General features: G+C 37.1%; 1 protein-coding gene across 12 annotated transcripts in view; it reads left to right on the top strand.

Annotated features, from left to right (window-relative positions):
- Window positions 1-18,126, top strand: part of DLG2 (discs large MAGUK scaffold protein 2) — a 2,173,362-nt gene that overhangs the window by 69,287 nt on the left and 2,085,949 nt on the right. The gene's annotated exons all lie outside the window — the stretch shown is intronic.

Raw genomic sequence — 18,126 nt, 5'->3', positions numbered from 1 at the left:
TTGACAATTCATTTCATAACATCACCACTATCTATTTCTAAATTGAATTTCAGGGCTTCTCACAGCTTACATACTATAGGGGTTTCTTCCCTTTAGTTCTGCACGTTAGTTTTAGCTTCTCATTTAAAAAAATGTTTTCAATTTATATTTTAGATTCAGATGGTACATATGCAGGTTTGTTACCTGAGTATATTGTGTGATGCTGAGGTTTGAGGTATGATTGATCCCGTCACCCAGGAACTGGGCATAGTACCCAGTAGTTAGTTTTCAACCTTTGCCCGACTCCTTACCTCCTCACAGTAGTCTCTAATGTCTATTGTTGCCATCTTTATGCCCATGAGTATCCAATATTCAGCTCCTATGTATAAGTGAGAACATGGGGTATTTGATTTTCTGCTCCTGTATTAATTTACTTAGGATAATGGCCTTCAGCTCTGTCCATGTTATTGCAAAGGGCATGATTTCATTCTTTTTCATGGCTGCATAGTATTCCACGGTGTATATATACCACATTGTCTTTATCCAGTCCACTATTGATGGGCACCTATGTTGATTCTGTGTCTTTGCTATTTTAAATATCTCTGCAATGAGCATGTGAGTGCAGGTATCTTTTTGGTATAATAATTTATTTTCTTTTGCATATATACTCAGTAGTGGGATTGCTGGGTCAAATGGTGGTTCTGTTTTAAGTTCTTTGAGAAATCTCCAAACTGCTAAACTAATTTGCATTACCATAAACAGTGTATAAGCATTCCCTTTTCTCCACAGCCTTGCCAACATCTATTGCTTTTTGACATTTTAAAAATAGCCATTCTGACTAGTGTGAGATGGCATCTCATTGTGGTTTTGATCTGCATTTCTCTGATCATTAGTGATATTGAGCATTTTTCATATGTTTGTTGGCCACTTGTGTGTCTTCTTTTGAGAAGTGCCTGTTCATGTCTTTTGCCTGTTTCTTAATGGGATTATTGGTTTTTTGTTCATTGAATTAAGTTCCTTATAGATTCAGGATATTAGACCTTTGTTGGATGCATAGTTTGCTAATATTTTCTCCCATTCTGTAGGTTGTCTGTTTACTCTGTTGTAGTGTCTTTTGCTGTGCAGAAACTCTTTGGTTTAATTAGGTCCCTCTTGTCTATTTTTGTTTTTGCTGCAATTACTTTTGAGGACTTAGTCATAAATTCTTACCCAAGGCCAATGTCTAAAATGGTGTTTCCTTGGTTTTCTTCTAGGATTTTTATCTAATTTGAGGTCTTACACTTAAATCTTTAATTCATCTTTAGTTAATTTTTGTGTATGATGAAAGGTAGGGGTCTAGGTTCATTCTTCTGCATATAGCTAGCCAGCTATGCCAGCACTATTTATTGAATAGGAAGTCCTTTCTCCATTGCTTGTTTTTGCTGGACTTTGTCAAAGATCAGAAGGCTGCAGGTATGTGGCTTTATTTCTGAGTTCTTTATTCTGTTCCAGTGGCCTATGTGTCTGTTCTTGTACCATTAACATGCTGTTTTGGTACTGTAGCTTTAGGGTGTAGTTTGAGGTCGGGTAATGTGATGACTCTGGCATTGTTCTTTTTGTTTAGGATTCCATTGGCTGTTCAGACTCTTTTTTGGTTCTGTATGAATTTTAGGATAGTTTTTTCTAATTATATGACAAATGATGTTGGTAGTTTGATGGGAATAGTATTGAATCTGTATATTTCTTTGGGCAGTATGGCCATTTTGACAATATTGATTTTTCCAGTCCATCAGCAGGAATGTTTTTCCATTTATTTGTGTCATCCGTAATTTTCTTCAGCAGTGTTTTGTAGTTTTCCTTGCAGAGATCTTTCACCACCTTGGTTAGATGTAGTCTTAGGTATTTTATGTATGTGTAGTGTGGTTATTGTAAAGGGGAATGAGTTCTTGATTTGTTTCTCAGTTTGGTTATTATTATTACTGTTCTCATCATGGAAATGCTACTGATTTTTGTACATTGATTTTGTATCCTGAAACTTTCATGAAGTTGTTTATCAGTTCCAGGAGCTTCTTGGTAGAATCTTTAGAGTTTTCTAGGTATGGAATCATATAATCAGTGAAGAGAGATAATGACTTATTTTCTTATTTGGAGCTTTTTATTTCTTCCTCTTGCCTGATTGCAGTGGCTAGGACTTCCTCAAACTTACTTTTCAAGAGACAAATATCACAGAAATTTAATCATCTAATGACATATATTTTTTTCATCTCTATATTTGGATAACTAGAAGAGAGAATAAACTTTGTATGAGGCTTTGATTGAAGTTGGTCATTTAAAGAAAAATTCTGTAGGCTCTACTGTGAGATTGTGAGGCATTTTGCTGTTACTGTCATTCTGATTACCTGGTGAACATAGGTGGGCTTAAAAGATTTGTCCAATTCATTACATCTGCTGCCACATCTGTGCTTAGATTCCCTTAAGCTTTTGGATTTTAGGAAAATGATCTTAATAAGTAAATTAGTTATATAAAAAGTAAGACAAACCTCTATTTATCTGAAGAAACACTTTACAGTCAAAAGGCTTTGTGATATATTTATAACATTAAATTAATTTGTAAACACTAGAAGAATACATGCAAAATAATAATCGACTTTGTAAAGAAAAAGTCTGTTTGATATAATGCCTTTATGATAGGCTTGGGTATGTCCAAGGAAAGTTATAAATTATGAAGAAACTACAATATAATCCTGTTTAAAAGTAATTCTAATTAATTCTAGTGGCTTTCAAAGTTAGTTGCAGGGTCCTAGAGTCAGTGCGTGAGCATTAACAGAGGAGGGAGGGTACTAAACCAGTGAGGTGCTTAGGCTCTCCATCCAAATTTCAAATGAAGTAGATTACATAATAAGATTTTATATAACTGTAATAGTAAACACGCAATGAGTAGACTTCTTGTATTTGATTCCTAGAACATTGTATTAGATAACCATATAATGCCAATTTCAACAATATCTCAATGTAAACCTCATCTTTATGTTGTAGAGGTGGAGGGAAAGCTTCCCTTCCATGCTCAGTGAAGGTTTATTGAAATGACTGACAATAGATCAATAAAAAAAGGCTTACAAATTGATTTATGTATACATGGACATGAGAGTCCCCACAGATGTAAAATTCAAAGAGGGGCCAGATGGTTGAGGCTCAAATACCTTCTTCCCAGGGCAGAGAGAAATGGGAGGTATAGACAATTTTGATGAAATAGTTGATAACTTTCAGGGGAAATAAATAAACCCAAAGGGCACTCGCCTGGAGCAAAGTTCCTCTCATCTCTGAGGGAGGTGGCAGAAAAATGAGGGGCCTGTGAACAAAGGTTGTCTTATTATGCAGACAGAGTTCCCTAGATAATCTCTTGGAGTTACTCCATGGAACAGATGAAAAGTCTCTCTGGGTATGGTGATGACTTTTAGTCTCTTCTCCAGTGGTTAATTTTTTTCCTGGTTATTCAAGAAGACAATTGGTTATCTTTTGGAAAGAAGTTTCCTTAGTCATAAAATTCCAGAGAGAGTCCCTCCTCGTACTTGGAGGTGGGTGGGAAAAAACAAGAGATGCTTAGAAAATTAGGCAGCTTCTAAGGCCTTCTGATTTCTTTTAATTAGGAGTGGTCAGTGTGCCAAAGCACTATATGTTGGGGTATCATTCTCTGCACCTCAACAATGTGAAGGTCAAAGTTTTATAAATTAGTGCATTGAGGTTACATGAGCTTTATAAAGAATTCTACTCCCTGAAACATTTTGTATAAGATAGGAGATCTCAGTTGTCTGAAGGTGCAGTAAAAGTTTTTGTGAAACCATGTGTGCATGATGTTTTTTCTGGAGGTCAATTTTATGACTTCTGATTCAATATCTTAAATGGGTATAGATCTATTTAAGTAGTATATTTCCTTTTAGTCAGTTTAAGTAAATTATGTAATTGCCTGATGGGTTATTCTTGCCCACTGCACAGACAAACCCAATGCACTTGAGACAGTGTTATTGCAGTAGAGTTTAATTATCATGAGGCAGCCAAGTGGGAGGACAGGAGTTACTACTCAACTCCATCTCCCCAGAGGCTTAGAGGTTAGGTTTTTCAAGGATACTTTGGTGGGCAGGGGGGCTAGGGAATGGGTGCAGCAGACTGGTTGAAAGTTAAATCATATGTGTGTGGAAAATGATCCTTGTGCACTGTCAGCCTCTGGGTGGGGGCCATGGGACTGGTTGAGCCATGATTCACAGGTCCAGGTAGAGTCAGTCAGTTGTCAGGATGCAAAAGTCCGAAAAAAAATCTCAAAGACCAACCTTAGGTTCTAAAATAGGGTGTTACCTATAGGAGCAATTGGGGAAGTTGCAAATCTTGTGACCTCTGGTGCAATAAACGATCATAGAAGGGCAAACTGCGTCTACATCTTAGCAGAATTCAGCTCCCCCCAGTCCTAATCTCTTGGGCTTTCATTAGTTTTACAAAGGCAGTTTTGGTCCTTAAGCAAGGAGAGGGTTAGTTTTAGGGAGGGACTGTTGTCTTCCTTCCTTCAAAGCCAAGCTATGAACTAAATTCTTCCCATAGTTAGCTTGGCCTGTATTTAGGAATGAGTGAGGACAGCCAGCTTGTGATGTTAGAATCAAATGGAGTCAGCCATGTTAGACTTCTTTCACTGTCATAATCTTTGCTAAGGCAATTTCAATTATATTTTTTCCAGCAACTTGCCCAGCCTGTCTGTTTTCAAATTTCTTGGCTTAAGTTAGTTCATAATATTATCTTCTGATTTTTAAATCTCTACTTGTAATTGTTTATTTTTCATTTCTAATATTATTTTCTCTAATATTTTTTATGTTCAATACTATCAGAAGTTTGACGACGACTATTGTTTTCAAATACTCAATTTTTTTTGTTAATTTGCTTTATACTATTCTTTGATTTCTATTTTATTAAATTTGATTCCCATTATTTCTTTTTTCTTCTACTTTCTTTTATTTTACTCTATTGTCCTTTTAAAAACTTCTTGAGTTGAGATCTTGGATAGAAGTTTTCAGTATTTTTTCTTCTCAAATATATACTTTTTGGCTATGACTTTTAAGTTTTTGGCTATAACTGTTAAGTACTACTTTATCTGCGACCCACATATTTTTATATGTCATGCTGTTACTTTCTAAATATTCTGTATATCCATATAAAATGGAAACTTAAACTATGAATATTTAGCAGTATAATTTTTATGTAATATAATTTACTTTTTAGCAAGCAGAAGATGCTGAATGTAACATAATTTTTATGTGGAAATTTAATGTAATTCTTAAATTGATTTTCTTTTTACTTTTGTTCTCCAATTTTGTTGATTTATATTCTGTAAACTTATTCTTGGTATTTAGTATTTGTTGAGAGATGAGTGTGATCTGTTATATGGATAATTTTTATAAATGTATAATGTGTACATGAAAGGAATGTTGATTATTAACATTTCATTTTATATTCCACTCCTTTGTATGTAGTTTCCTCCACACATCATTTAATCTCTTTCAGTAAGAATCAATTAATATCAGTTTTTCATCTGCAAATGTACTTATTTTATTCTTCAATGTAGTTTAGCTGGAAACCCCATTTCTACCAAAAATACAAACAGATTAGCCGGGCATGGTGTTGTGTACCTCCAAAAAAAAAAAGCACTTGTTATAGTCCAACATATGATAATTTAAAAACTATTTTTATGTCTATTATTTATATATTTACATATGATGTAAGCTTAATGAAGTTAGGAATTTTTGTCCCCTTTTTCATTAATGCATCACAACACCTTAAAACAGTGTTTGGCATATAAAAAGTACCTAATAAGTATTTATTGAATGAAAGAAAAAAGTGAATTTAGAATTCACATTTGTTTTATGTTTGTTTTTTGCAGATATTATTCTATTCCTATCACCAGTATGTAATCTCCATGAAGGCAAGAATTTTTGTCTGTTTTGTTCACTGCTATATCCTCAGGAACTAAAACAGTGCCTGGCATTCAATAAATATTTGTGAATAAATGAAATTATAATTAGGGCATTCTCCATGTAATTGTTTTTCTGTTGCATTCAATGTATCATTTCTCTGAGGTTGCTTTTAGTATTTTATTTTTGTCTTTAATTATCTGAAGTTTCTCAATGATGTATCCAGTGTGGATTTCTTTTTAATTTTTTGCGTGAGATTTGTTTCCTGAATTTGATCATGTTTTTTATCATTTTGGGCAAATTCTTAGCGATTTTCTCTTCAATATTTTCTCTTTCCTATTCTCTCTTGGAACTCCTATTTAAATAGATAGATGAATGTTTCTTATTCTATCCTCCATAACATTCATTCTGTCATTATATTTTCTATTTTTTTATTGTATTGGATTTTGGGTAATTTTCTTAAGCTCATCTTCCCATGTAATAGTTTTTTCTTCAGCAATATCTAATTTGCTAATTAATCTATACATTGAGATTTAAAAATGTTAATGCCTTTTTAGAAGTTCTATTTATTTTATTTAAGTCACTATTTTTCATTGGAAGGTCTTTCAGTATAACTGTATTTCTTTTATTTTTTAAATAATATCAAGAATAATTATTTAAAAATATCAGATTGTTTTATTTTTCTAAACTTTTTTTTTGGGAGGGTGCTGTTTTAACCATTTGTTGTGTCTACTGATACTCCCTTTTGGTAAGTGAAAAGTCCTCAGGTGATTTGTAAACTTTGTGAGTTAATTTTCAGCAGAAGTCTGTTTTTCTGTAACAGCCATATGTGTTGTAGAAATATACCTAGAAATGAGTTTTGCATTTATTTCTTTTGGGTATTCCAGGAGTTCCACTGTTATGAGGCCATTTTTTTGTTAATATTTTGGTTTGAGATTCTTGTAGCACCACTCGTTGTGAGATTGGAGTTTTGATTTCTCACAGAAGGCTTTTCTTTTCTACTCACAGCACTCAGCAGAAAAGATGAACATTCTTGCTACTGCCTTGGGCTGCATGCTGAAGCCTTTTTTTTTTTTTTTTTTCTTTTAAGTCCCATTTCATGAATAGGAACCTTTCAGGTTCCAGTGAAAGGAGTTTTATTTTCAGATCCTGCCTCAGTTCCTGCTTACCATTAAAATTGTGATCTCAAGGCCTTAGGGGTATATATATTTGGACCTGATACTCTCTTTTCCCACTGAATTCTTAGTTTCTCTGCTTATTGTTATGACTTGAGTTACCTCCATTTTTCTTATGCCTGAGGATTTCTACTTTTTTCTTTTTAGTTTTGATATGTACTTAGTATTTGTGGACTATATTTTATCCAGCATTCTGTATATATTAGTAGTGGGATAACATCAGCTACTCATTGTGGCACATTGTTACTCTGGAAGGCTTGAACAGGAATACTCTTATTATTGAAACAAAAATTCAGAAAATAATTAAATTTATATGTGAACTTGATATTATTTGCATGCAACATCAATACCATTTCAGCTAAACATCATCTTTCTTATGAAATTAATGTTATTAATTTGAATGTCAATGTTTTTGTAATTTTTAAATATATTTAATTTGTGAATTTATATTAATTTAATAGTTATAAAGGAGTTATATGCATAATAGTTTAGATCTAATTTTGTTAGTATGTATTTATATGGCATTAAAATATGAGTATTTAAAGCAACATTGGTACAATTATAATTATTTTTACATTAAAAACTGAAGTCTGAGAAAAACTGGGCTAATCATGACTAGAAAAAAATTATATTTAGAAAGTGATGGCACCTACTTTGAACTCAGTTTTTTTTCTCGATGTTTATTGCTGATTATATATTCATATTTGGTCATCTTTTGGGGGAACATAATGGCTTAACCATTCTGCTTCTCATATTTCTACACCTAATACAAATTGACCTTTGAAGTATGTATACTATCTACTCAGTATATAGAGATGATGTTGTCTATCTCAAAAATGCTTCATAGAAATGGGCACTAATATATCGGAATCATCTGGGAAAGTGTTTTCAAAACACATATATCTGGTTTACCTCACTTCCTCCTTTACCTCATATTTTGATAATGGTGTCAGGATTTTATCCTAAAATTAACAAGAAGCTACTGAAGATTTTGAGCAATATTGTGCCACTTCTATTTCTGTATTTTCTTTCTTGACTGTTAGACACAATTGTTTCTGAAAAGTCTTTCTTAGGATCTAGGTGGCTAACTTGTTCCTTCTTTCCTTTGGAAATACGGCATTCAGCAACTAATGTTCATCATGCCAGAGGCCATGGCCTTAAATATGACAGGCTCTAGAAAAAGTATTCTTAGTAATTACAGTAAAGAGGAACTGTTCTTGAACTGGAGAGTTAGCCAGAGAAAGTCTCATATAGTGCAGAATAGCAGGGGTAGAATATGCCGTACCCAAACTAGCCAGTTGCCACTTTTGTTAGGAAAAGTTCCATGCAGATGTTTCTGCCTTTGAAGCAAGATATTTCCCTGACCCCTTCATGGGACTTGCAACAGTGGGTGCCTCCTTTACTCAGCCTGCCGCTCTCAACTCCTCCTGGGAACTGGCGTGCATGAGTGCTTGAATCCACCAGGCACTTCAGCACCAGCGGCACCAGTGGCACCAGGGGGATCAAACCCCACTCACTTGGACCTGCTGCATTCCACCCCTTGCAGGAGGGAGCACGCAGGTGAGTGGGTGCAGGAACCAGAGTAAGCACCTTTGCGCGCTGGCAGCACAAACTCCATGCAGGCCCCGTGGCAGCGTCCAGTTGGGGTGCCTGCAGCTCCCAAAGCCCCAGGTGATGTGATACAGTGCTCTTTTAGCTCTGCCATCCACTATGGCTTAGGTGTTAACAGCTCAGTGGGCCCTCCACCTTTTCATGCTAGGTGGCTGTCCTCTGCCAGTGAGGGCAAAGGGCCAGTATGACGTCCTTTTGTATCATACTTGTGGCTCCTGAGCTCTTGTCTGGCATCCAGGAGAAGTGAGGTTACATGAACGAATTGATTAGATCTTGTGCAAGAGAATTGGAGGCAAATCCATAGAGTAATATGAAAGCAAGTTTATTAAGAAAGTAAGGGAATAAAAGAATGGCTACTCCATAGGCAGAGTGGTGGCATGGGCTGCTCAGCTGCTTATATTTATTGTTAATTTTTGATTTTATGGTAGACAAGGGATGGATTATTCATGAGTTTTCTAGGAAAGGGGTGGGCAATTCCCAGAACTGAGGGTTCCTCCCTTTTTTAGACTGTATAGGGTAACTTTCTGATGTTGCCATGGCATTTGTAAACTGGTCATCGCTCTGGCAGGAGTGTCTTCTAGCATGCTAATGCATTATAATTAGTGTATAATGAGCAGTGAGGATGACCAAAGGTCACTTTCATCACCATCTTGATTTTGGTGGGTTTTGATCAGCTTCTTTCTTGCAACTTGTTTTATCAGCAAGGTCTTTGTAACCTGTATCTTGTGCTGACCTATCTCATCCTGGTAGAATGCCTAACCTCCTGGGAATGCAGCCCAGTAGGTCTCAGTCTTATTTTACCTAGCCCCTATACAAGATGGAGTTGCTCTGGCTCAAATGCCTCTGACGTTTTTATATTTTTGAATGGAAATGCTTTTTTTCATACTTGTACAATTTACAATTGTATTGGGAAATATTTAGACATTATCGAAAAGTATAAAGAAGAGAATTGGCTGGCAAGATGGCCGAATAGGAACAGCTCCGGTCTGCAGCTCCTGGTGAGATTGATGCAGAAGGCGGGTGATTTCTGCATTTCCAGCTGAGGTAACCGGTTCATCTCATTGTGACTGGTTGGACAGTGGTTGCAGCCCAAGGAGGGCGAGTGGAAGCAGGGTGGGGCGTCACCTCATCCGGGAAGTGCAAGGGGTCAGGGAACACCTTGTCTATCCAAGGGAAGCCATTAGGGACTGTACCATGTACTCCAGCCCAGATACTATGCTTTTCCCATGGTCTTCACAACCTGCGGACCCAGGAGATTCACTCCAGCGCCCAAGCCACCAGGGCTCTGGGTTTCCAGCACAAAACTGGGCGGCTGTTTTGGCGGACTCTGAACTAGCCGCAGGAGTTTTTTTTTCATACCCCAGTGGTGCTCAGAACGCCACTGAGACAGAACAGTTCACTCCTCTGGAAAGGGGGCTGAAGCCAGGGAGCCAAGTGGTTTGGCTTGGCAGTCCCACCCCCACGGAGCCCAGCAAGCTAAGATCCACTGGCTTGAAATTCTCACTGCTAGCACAGCAGTCTGAGCTTGACCCGCGATGCTCGAGCTTGGTGGGGGGAAGGGCATCCACCATTGCTGAGGGTAGAGTAGGTGGTTTTACCCTCACAGTATAAACAAAGACACTGGGAAGTTCAAATTGTGGGGAGCCCACCGCAGCTCAGCAAGGCCACTGTGGCCAGACTGCCTCTCCAGATTCCCTCCTCTCTGGACAGGGCGTCTCTGAAAAACAGGCACAGCCCCAGTCAGGGACTTATAGATAAAACCCCCACCTCCCTGGGACAGAGCACCTGGGGGAAGGGGCGGTTGGGGACACAGCTTCAGCAGACTTAAACATCCCTGCCTGGCAGCTCTGAAGAGAGCAGTGGATCTCACAGCACAGCATTCAAGCTCTGATAAGGGACAGACTGCCTCCTCAAGTGGGTCCCTGACCCCCGTGTATCCTGACTGGGAGACACCTCCCAGTAGGGGATGACAGATACCTCATAGAGCAGAGCTCAGGCTGGCATCTGGCGGGTGCCCCTCTGGGACGAAACTTCCAGAGCAAGGAACAGGCAGCAATCTTTGCTGTTCTGCAACCTCCACCAGTGATACCCAGGCAAACAGGGTCTGGAGTGGACCTTCAGGAAACTCCAGCAGACTTGCAGCAGAGGGGCCTGACTGTCAGAAGGAAAACTAACAAACAGAAAGGAATAGTATCAACATCAACAAAAAGGACATCCACTCAGAGACCCCAGCCAAAGATCACCGACTTCAAAGACCAAAGGTAAATAAATCCATGAAGATGGGGAGAAAACAGCACAAAAAGGCTGAAAATTCTAAAAACCAGAATGCCTATTCTCCTCCAAAGGATCACAACTCCTTGCCAGCAAGGGAACAAAACTGGACAGAGAATGAGTTTGACAAATTGACAGAAGTAGGCTTCAGAAGGTGGGTAATAAAAACTCCTCTGAGTTAAAGGAGCATGTTCTAACCCAATGCAAGGAAGCTAAGAACCTTGAAAAAGGGTTAGACGAATTGCTAACTAGAATAACCAGTTTAGAGAAGAATATAAATGACCTGATGGAGCTGAAAAACACAGCAGGAGAGCTTCATGAGGCATACGCAAATATCAATAGCCAAATTGATCAAGCGGAAGAAAGGATATCAGTGACTGAAGATCAACTCAATGAAATAAAGTGAGAAGACAAGATTAGAGAAAAAAGAGTGAAAAGAAACGAACAAAACCTCCAAGAAATCTGGGACTATGTGAAAAGACCAAATCTACATTTGTTTGGTGTACCGGAAAGTGACAAGGAGAATGGAACCAAGTTGGAAAACACTCTTCAGGATATTATCCAGGAGAATTTCCCCAACCTAGCAAGGCAGACCAACATTCAAATTCAGGAACTACAGAGAACACCGCAAAGATACTCCTTGAGAAGAACAACGCCAAGACACATAATTGTCAGATTCACATTGAAATGAAGGAAAAAATGTTAAGAGCAGCCAGAGAGAAAGGTCAGGTTACCCACAAAGGGAAGCCCATAGACTAACAGTAGATCTCTCTGCAGAAACCCTACAAGCCAAAAGAGAGTGGGGGCTGATATTCAACACTCATAAAGAATTTTCAACCCAGAATTTCATATCCAGCCAAACTAAGCTTCATAAGTGAAGGAGAAATAAAACCCTTTATAGACAAGCAAGTGCTGAGAGATTTTGTCACCACCAGGCCTGCCTTACAAGAGCTCCTGAAGGAAGCATTAAACATGGAAAGGATCAACCACTGCAAAAACATGCCAAACTGTAAAGACCATCGACGCTATGAATAAACTGCAACAGCTAATGGGCAAAATAACCAGCTGGCATCATAATGGAGGGATTAAATTCACACATAACAATATTAACCTTAAATGTAAATGGACTAAATGCCCCAATTAAAAGACACAGACTGGCAAATTGGATAAGAGTCAAGACCCATTGATGTGCTGTATTCAGCAAACCCATCTCACATGCAAAGACACACATAGGCTGAAAATAAAGGGATGGAGAAATATTTACCAAGCAAATGGAAAGCAAAAAAAAAAAAAAAAAAAAAAGCAGGGGTTATATCCTAGTCTCTGATAAAACAGACTTTAAACCAACAAAGATCAAAAGAGACAAAGAAGGCCATTACATAATGGAAAAAGGATCAATGCAACCAGAAGAGCTAACTATCCTAAATATATATGCACCCAATACAGGAGCACCCAGATTCATAAAACAAGTTCTTAGAGACACACAAAGAGATTTAGACTCCCACACAATAATAATGGGAGACTTTAACACCCCACTGTCAATATTAGACAGATCAATGACACAGAAAATTACAAGGATATCCAGGACGTGAACTCAGCTCAGGACCAAGCAGACCTAATAGACATCTGTAGAACTCTCCACCCCACATCAACAGAATATACATTCTTCTCAGCACCACATCACACTTATTCTAAAATTGGCCACATAATTGGAAGTAAAACACTCCTCAGCAAATGCAAAAGAACGGAAATCATAACAAACAGTCTCTCAGACCACAGTGCAATCAAATTAGAACTCAGGATTAAGAAACTCACTCAAAAATCACACAACTGCATAGAAACTGAACAACCTACTTCTGAATGACTGCTGGGTAAATAACAAAATGAAGGCAGAAATAAAGATGGTCTTTGAAACCAATGAGAACAAAGACACAAGGTAGCAGAATCTCTGGGACACATTTAAAGCAGTGTGTAGAGGGAAATTTATAGCACTAAATGCCCACAAGAGAAAGCAGGGGAGATCTAAAATCAACACCCTACCATCACATTTAAAAGAACTAGAGAAGCAGGAGCAAACAAATTCAAATGCTAGCAGAAGCCAAGAAATAATTAATATCAGAGCAGAACTGAAGGAGACAGAGACACAAAAAACCCTACATAAAATCAATGAATCCAGGAGCTGGTTTTTTGAAAAGTTCAACAAAATAGATAGACTGCTAGCCAGACTAATAAAGAAGAAAAGAGAGAAGAATCAAATAGATGCAATAAAAAAATGGTAAAGGGGATATCACCACTAATCCCACAGAAATACAAACTACCATCAGAGAATACTATAAACACCTCTATGCAAATGAAACTAGAAACTCTAGAAGAAATGGATAAGTTCCTGGACACATACACCCTCCCAAGACTAAACCAGGAAGAAGTTGAATCCCTGAATAGACCAATAACAAGTTCTGAAGTTGAGGCAGCAATTAATAGCCTACCAACCAAAAAAAGCCCAGGACCACATGGATTCACAGCCAAATTCTACCAGAGGTACAAGGAGGAGCTGGTACCATTCCTTCTGAAACTATTCCAAACAATAGAAAAAGAGGGAATCCACCCTAACTCACTTCATGAGGCCAGCATCATCCTAATACCAAAACCTCACAGAGACACAACAAAAAAAGAAAATTTCCGGCTAATATCCCTGATGAATGTTGATGCGAAAATCCTCAATAAAATACTGGCAAACCGAATCCAGCAACACATCAAAAAGCTTATCCACCACGATCAAGTTGGCTGCATCCCGGGGATGCAAGTCTTGTTCAACATATGCAAATCAATACACGTAATCCATCACATAAACAGAACCAATGACAAAATCACATGATTGTCTCAATAGATGCAGAAAAGGCCTTTGACAAAATTCAACAGCCCTTCATGCTAAAACTCTCAATAAACTAGATATTGATGGAACGTAGCTCAAAATACTAAGAGCTATTTATGACAAACCCACAGCCAATATCATACTGAATGGGCAAAAACTGGAAGCATTCCCTTTGAAAACCAGCACAACACAAGGATGCCCTCTTTCACCACTCCTATTCAACATAGTACTGGAAGTTCTGGCCAGGGCAATCAGGCAAGAGAAAGAAATAAACGGTATTCAATTAGGAAAAGAGGAAGTCAAATTGTTTCTGTGCGCAGATGACATGATTGTGTATTTAGAAAACCCCATCATCTCACCCCAAAGTCTCCTTAAGCTGATAACCAACTTCAGCAAAGTTTGATTGATACAAAATCAATGTGCAAAAATCTCAAGCGTTCTTATACGCCAGTAACACACAGGGAGCCAAATCATGAGTGAACTCCCATTCACATTTGCCTCAAAGAGAATAAAATACCTAGGAATCCAACTTACAAGGGATGTGAAGGATCTCTTCAAGGAGAACTACAAACCACTGCTCAAGGAAATAAAAGAGGACACAATCAAGTGGAAAAACATTCCATGCTCATGGATTGGAAGAATCAATATTGTGAAAATGGCCATACTGCCCAAAGTAATTTATAGATTCAGTGCTCTCCCTATCAAGCTACCATTGACTTTTTTCCCAGAATTGGAAAGAACTACTTTAAATTTCATATGGAATCAAAAAAGAGTCCACAAAACCAAGACAATCCTAAGCAAAAAGGACAAAGCTGGTAGCATCACACTACCTGACTTCAAGCTTTATTACAAGCCTAGAGTAACCAAAACAGCATGGTACTGGTAGCAAAACAGATATATAAACCAATGGAACAGAACAGAAGCCTCAGAAATAACACCACACATCTACCACCATTTGATTTTTTGACAAAGCTGACAAAAGCAAGCATTGGGGAAAGGATTCCCTATTTAATAAGTGGTCTTGGGAAAACTGGCTAGCCATATGTAGAAAGCTGAAACTGGATCCCTTCCTTATACCTTATACAAAAATTAACTCAAGACAGATTCAAGACTTAAATTTTAGACCTAAAACCACAAAAACCCTAGAATAAAACCTTGGCAATACCATTCAGGACATAGGCATGGGCAAAGACTTCCAAGACTAAAACACCAAAAGCAGCGGCAACTAAAGCCAAAATTGACAAATGGGATCTAATTATACTAAAGAGCTTCTGCACAGCAAAAGAAACTGTCATCAGAGTGAACAGGCACCCTACAGAATGGGAGAAAATTTTTGCAATCTATCCATCTGGCAAAGGGCTAATATCCAAAATCTACAAAGAACTTAAACAAATTTACAAGAAAAAAAAACAAACAACCCCATCAAAAAGTGAATGAAGGATATGAACAGACACTTCTCCAAAAAAGACATTTATGCAGACGACAAACATATGAGAAAAAGCTCATCATCACTGGTCATTAGAGAAATGTAAATCAAAACCACAATGAGATACCATCTCACGACAGTTAGAATGGTGATCATTAAAAAGTCAGGAAACTATAGATGCTAGAGAGGATGTGGAGAAATAGGAATGCTTTTACATTGTTGGTGGGAGTGTAAATTAGTTCAACCATTGTGGAAGACAGTGTGGCAATTCCTTAAGGATCTAGAACTAGAAATACCATTTGACCCGACAATCCCATTATTGGGTATATACCCAAAGGATTATAAATCATTCTACTATAAAGATCCATGCACACATATGTTTATTGTGGCATTGTTCACACTAGCAAAGACTTGGAACCCACCCAAATGTCCATCAATGATAGACTGGATAAAGAAAATGTGGCACATGTACACCATGGAATACTAAGCAGCCATAAAAAATGATGAATTAATATCCTTTGCAGGGACATGGATGAAGCTGGAAACCATCATTCTTAGCAAACTAACACAGGAACAGAAAACCAAACATTGCATGTTCTCACTCATAAGTCGGAGTTGAACGATGAGAACAAATGGGCACAGGGAGGGGAACATCACACACCAGAGCCTGTTGAGGATGGGGGCCTAGGGGAGGGATAGCATTAGTAGAAATGCCTAATGTAGATGACGGGTTGATAGGTGCAGCAAACCCCCATGGCACATGTATACCTATGTAACAAACCTGCAAGTTCTGCACATGTATCCCGGAACTTAAATTATAATTAAAAAAAAGAGAATCAATTTTGTATAGCTACACCTAGCAACAGTATTACCTAGAAATAGTAACATTTTGATGTATATCCTTCCAAAATCATTTAAATCCACACACACATAAACACATATGACTACATACAACTTATATTTATCTTATTGATATAATTGACTGTTTTCATTTGTTTTTAAATAAATGCCCTTGGGCTAGGACTGACTTTTACTTTTTGAAACATTAATTCAGTGTTGCAAGTATTTACTTTGACATTTTTGCCTATGAAATGTCATGTCAAATGATTATGCTATGACATAGGAACAGAGAATGAAGAATCATAGAATAATAGAATTTAAGATCTAAAAGAGACCTTTGAGAATATTAAAATCTCCTTTAAAACCCAGAGCCAACAAGTCAGGATTCTTTGTATTGTTCATGTTGTCATATATTATGCAAACTTTAAAAGGAAAAAAATGCTGATATTGAAGATATGGTATCTATTAATACTTTAAAAGATGAAGCCTTACTCCTAAATTTACTTCATAAACAAAATGTATTTTGTCCTATTTTATCTTCAAAGGATTCCCAGATCCTTTGAATATCTTCCATAATTCCCAGATTAATCAAATGCATAGGTATAATATCATTTGTTTGCCACTCAGTTTGTACACACATTTTTTGTTGGTCCGTGGGGGAGTTCTCCAACATAATATATTTCCAAGAGATTGCTTAACAATGAAGGTGGTGCCCCATTTCTTTTGGTGTAATTTCTACTTAGGTTGAATTCACAAGAATTGTAACTAAAATCTCATTGAAGTTACCTGAAATGAGGAGGAAAGAAAAGAAAAATAAATGAGAAAAAAGGACCAGCAGGACAAAAAGTGCTACTGCTTTGTAAAGAATTCATTTCTCTTTCTCTGTGGGCACACGAATGTGGGTGGGTTTTCTCAATTCTGGAGTTGTTGTAAATAAATTAGCTGTAAACCAGTTACAGATTTTTTTCCCCCTTACTCTTCTAAATTACTTCAGGTGTCAAGCTGAGAAGTCTGTGAGGCTTTCAGCAATAGCACACTGTTTCATATTATTATTTTTTAAAAGCAGAGACAGGAATAACACAAATAATTCCATTTGCATTTGAATTAAATTCCTTGGGCATTTCCTGGATTTTGTTAGCAATTCAACAGGAAGCCTAGTATTAGGAGATAGGGAATAATTACAAGAGAAAGGGAGGCAGAGGAGTAAAAAGGCACTGAATTCATGATGCAGAATTTGGCTGAAGTGTTTTTTTCTTTTAATTAGAAGGTGGTGGATCAAAATTTTAATCCTTAGAAGTAATTTTCTATGACTTCAAATCTGTGTTTTTTTGCACTCACTCTATGAATTGTTCCATAAACAATCAGCAAAAGTCAAATCAGTAGTAGTTTTGTAAGCCATCTCAAAGGGTTTGGAGATGTTTTCTAAGTCATTTATTGACCCAACTTTCATATAGGGCCCATTAGTATATATTATAATAATATATATTTATTAAAGATAAAACATTCATAAATAATAATACTCATTATCTGTATGACATTGGGCAAGTTAACTTTTTTAGGCCTAGTTTCCTCACCTGTAAAGTTAGTAAATTGGACTTGCTTATTTCTAATTTTTTTTCCAGCTGTATGTTATATGAAGTCATTAAAAATGAAAGAAATGACCTAGTATATAAATAGAAGTGATCCATTGTAATTTAAAACTATAAATACATAAGTATTAAATAATTTATACTCAGATTAGCAGTGGTCTCAATAATTATTTTTTGAATCTGATGTGATTATATCATTACTTTGTTTTCCATCATTCACAGGGTAAAGTTAAAAGTCCTTAGGATGGCACATTAGAGCAATTATGCTTTTTGTAAGACCGCCTTATGGACCTGGAAAGAAACTGAGGCAGAGCTTAAATACTAAAGAATTTATTTGAGTCAGATTTGCATGACTGCAGCCCAGGAAACACTTCCAAGTTATCCTGGGAAGTGTTCCAGGGAACAAAAGAGAATTGTGAACTTTTAAAGAAAA

Source organism: Homo sapiens, chromosome 11 (genome assembly GCF_000001405.40).
Source record: "Homo sapiens chromosome 11, GRCh38.p14 Primary Assembly".
Lineage (NCBI taxonomy): Eukaryota > Metazoa > Chordata > Mammalia > Primates > Hominidae > Homo > Homo sapiens.
The sequence above is the reverse complement of the archived record's forward strand: the minus strand, read 5'-3'. Positions and strand labels throughout refer to the sequence as shown.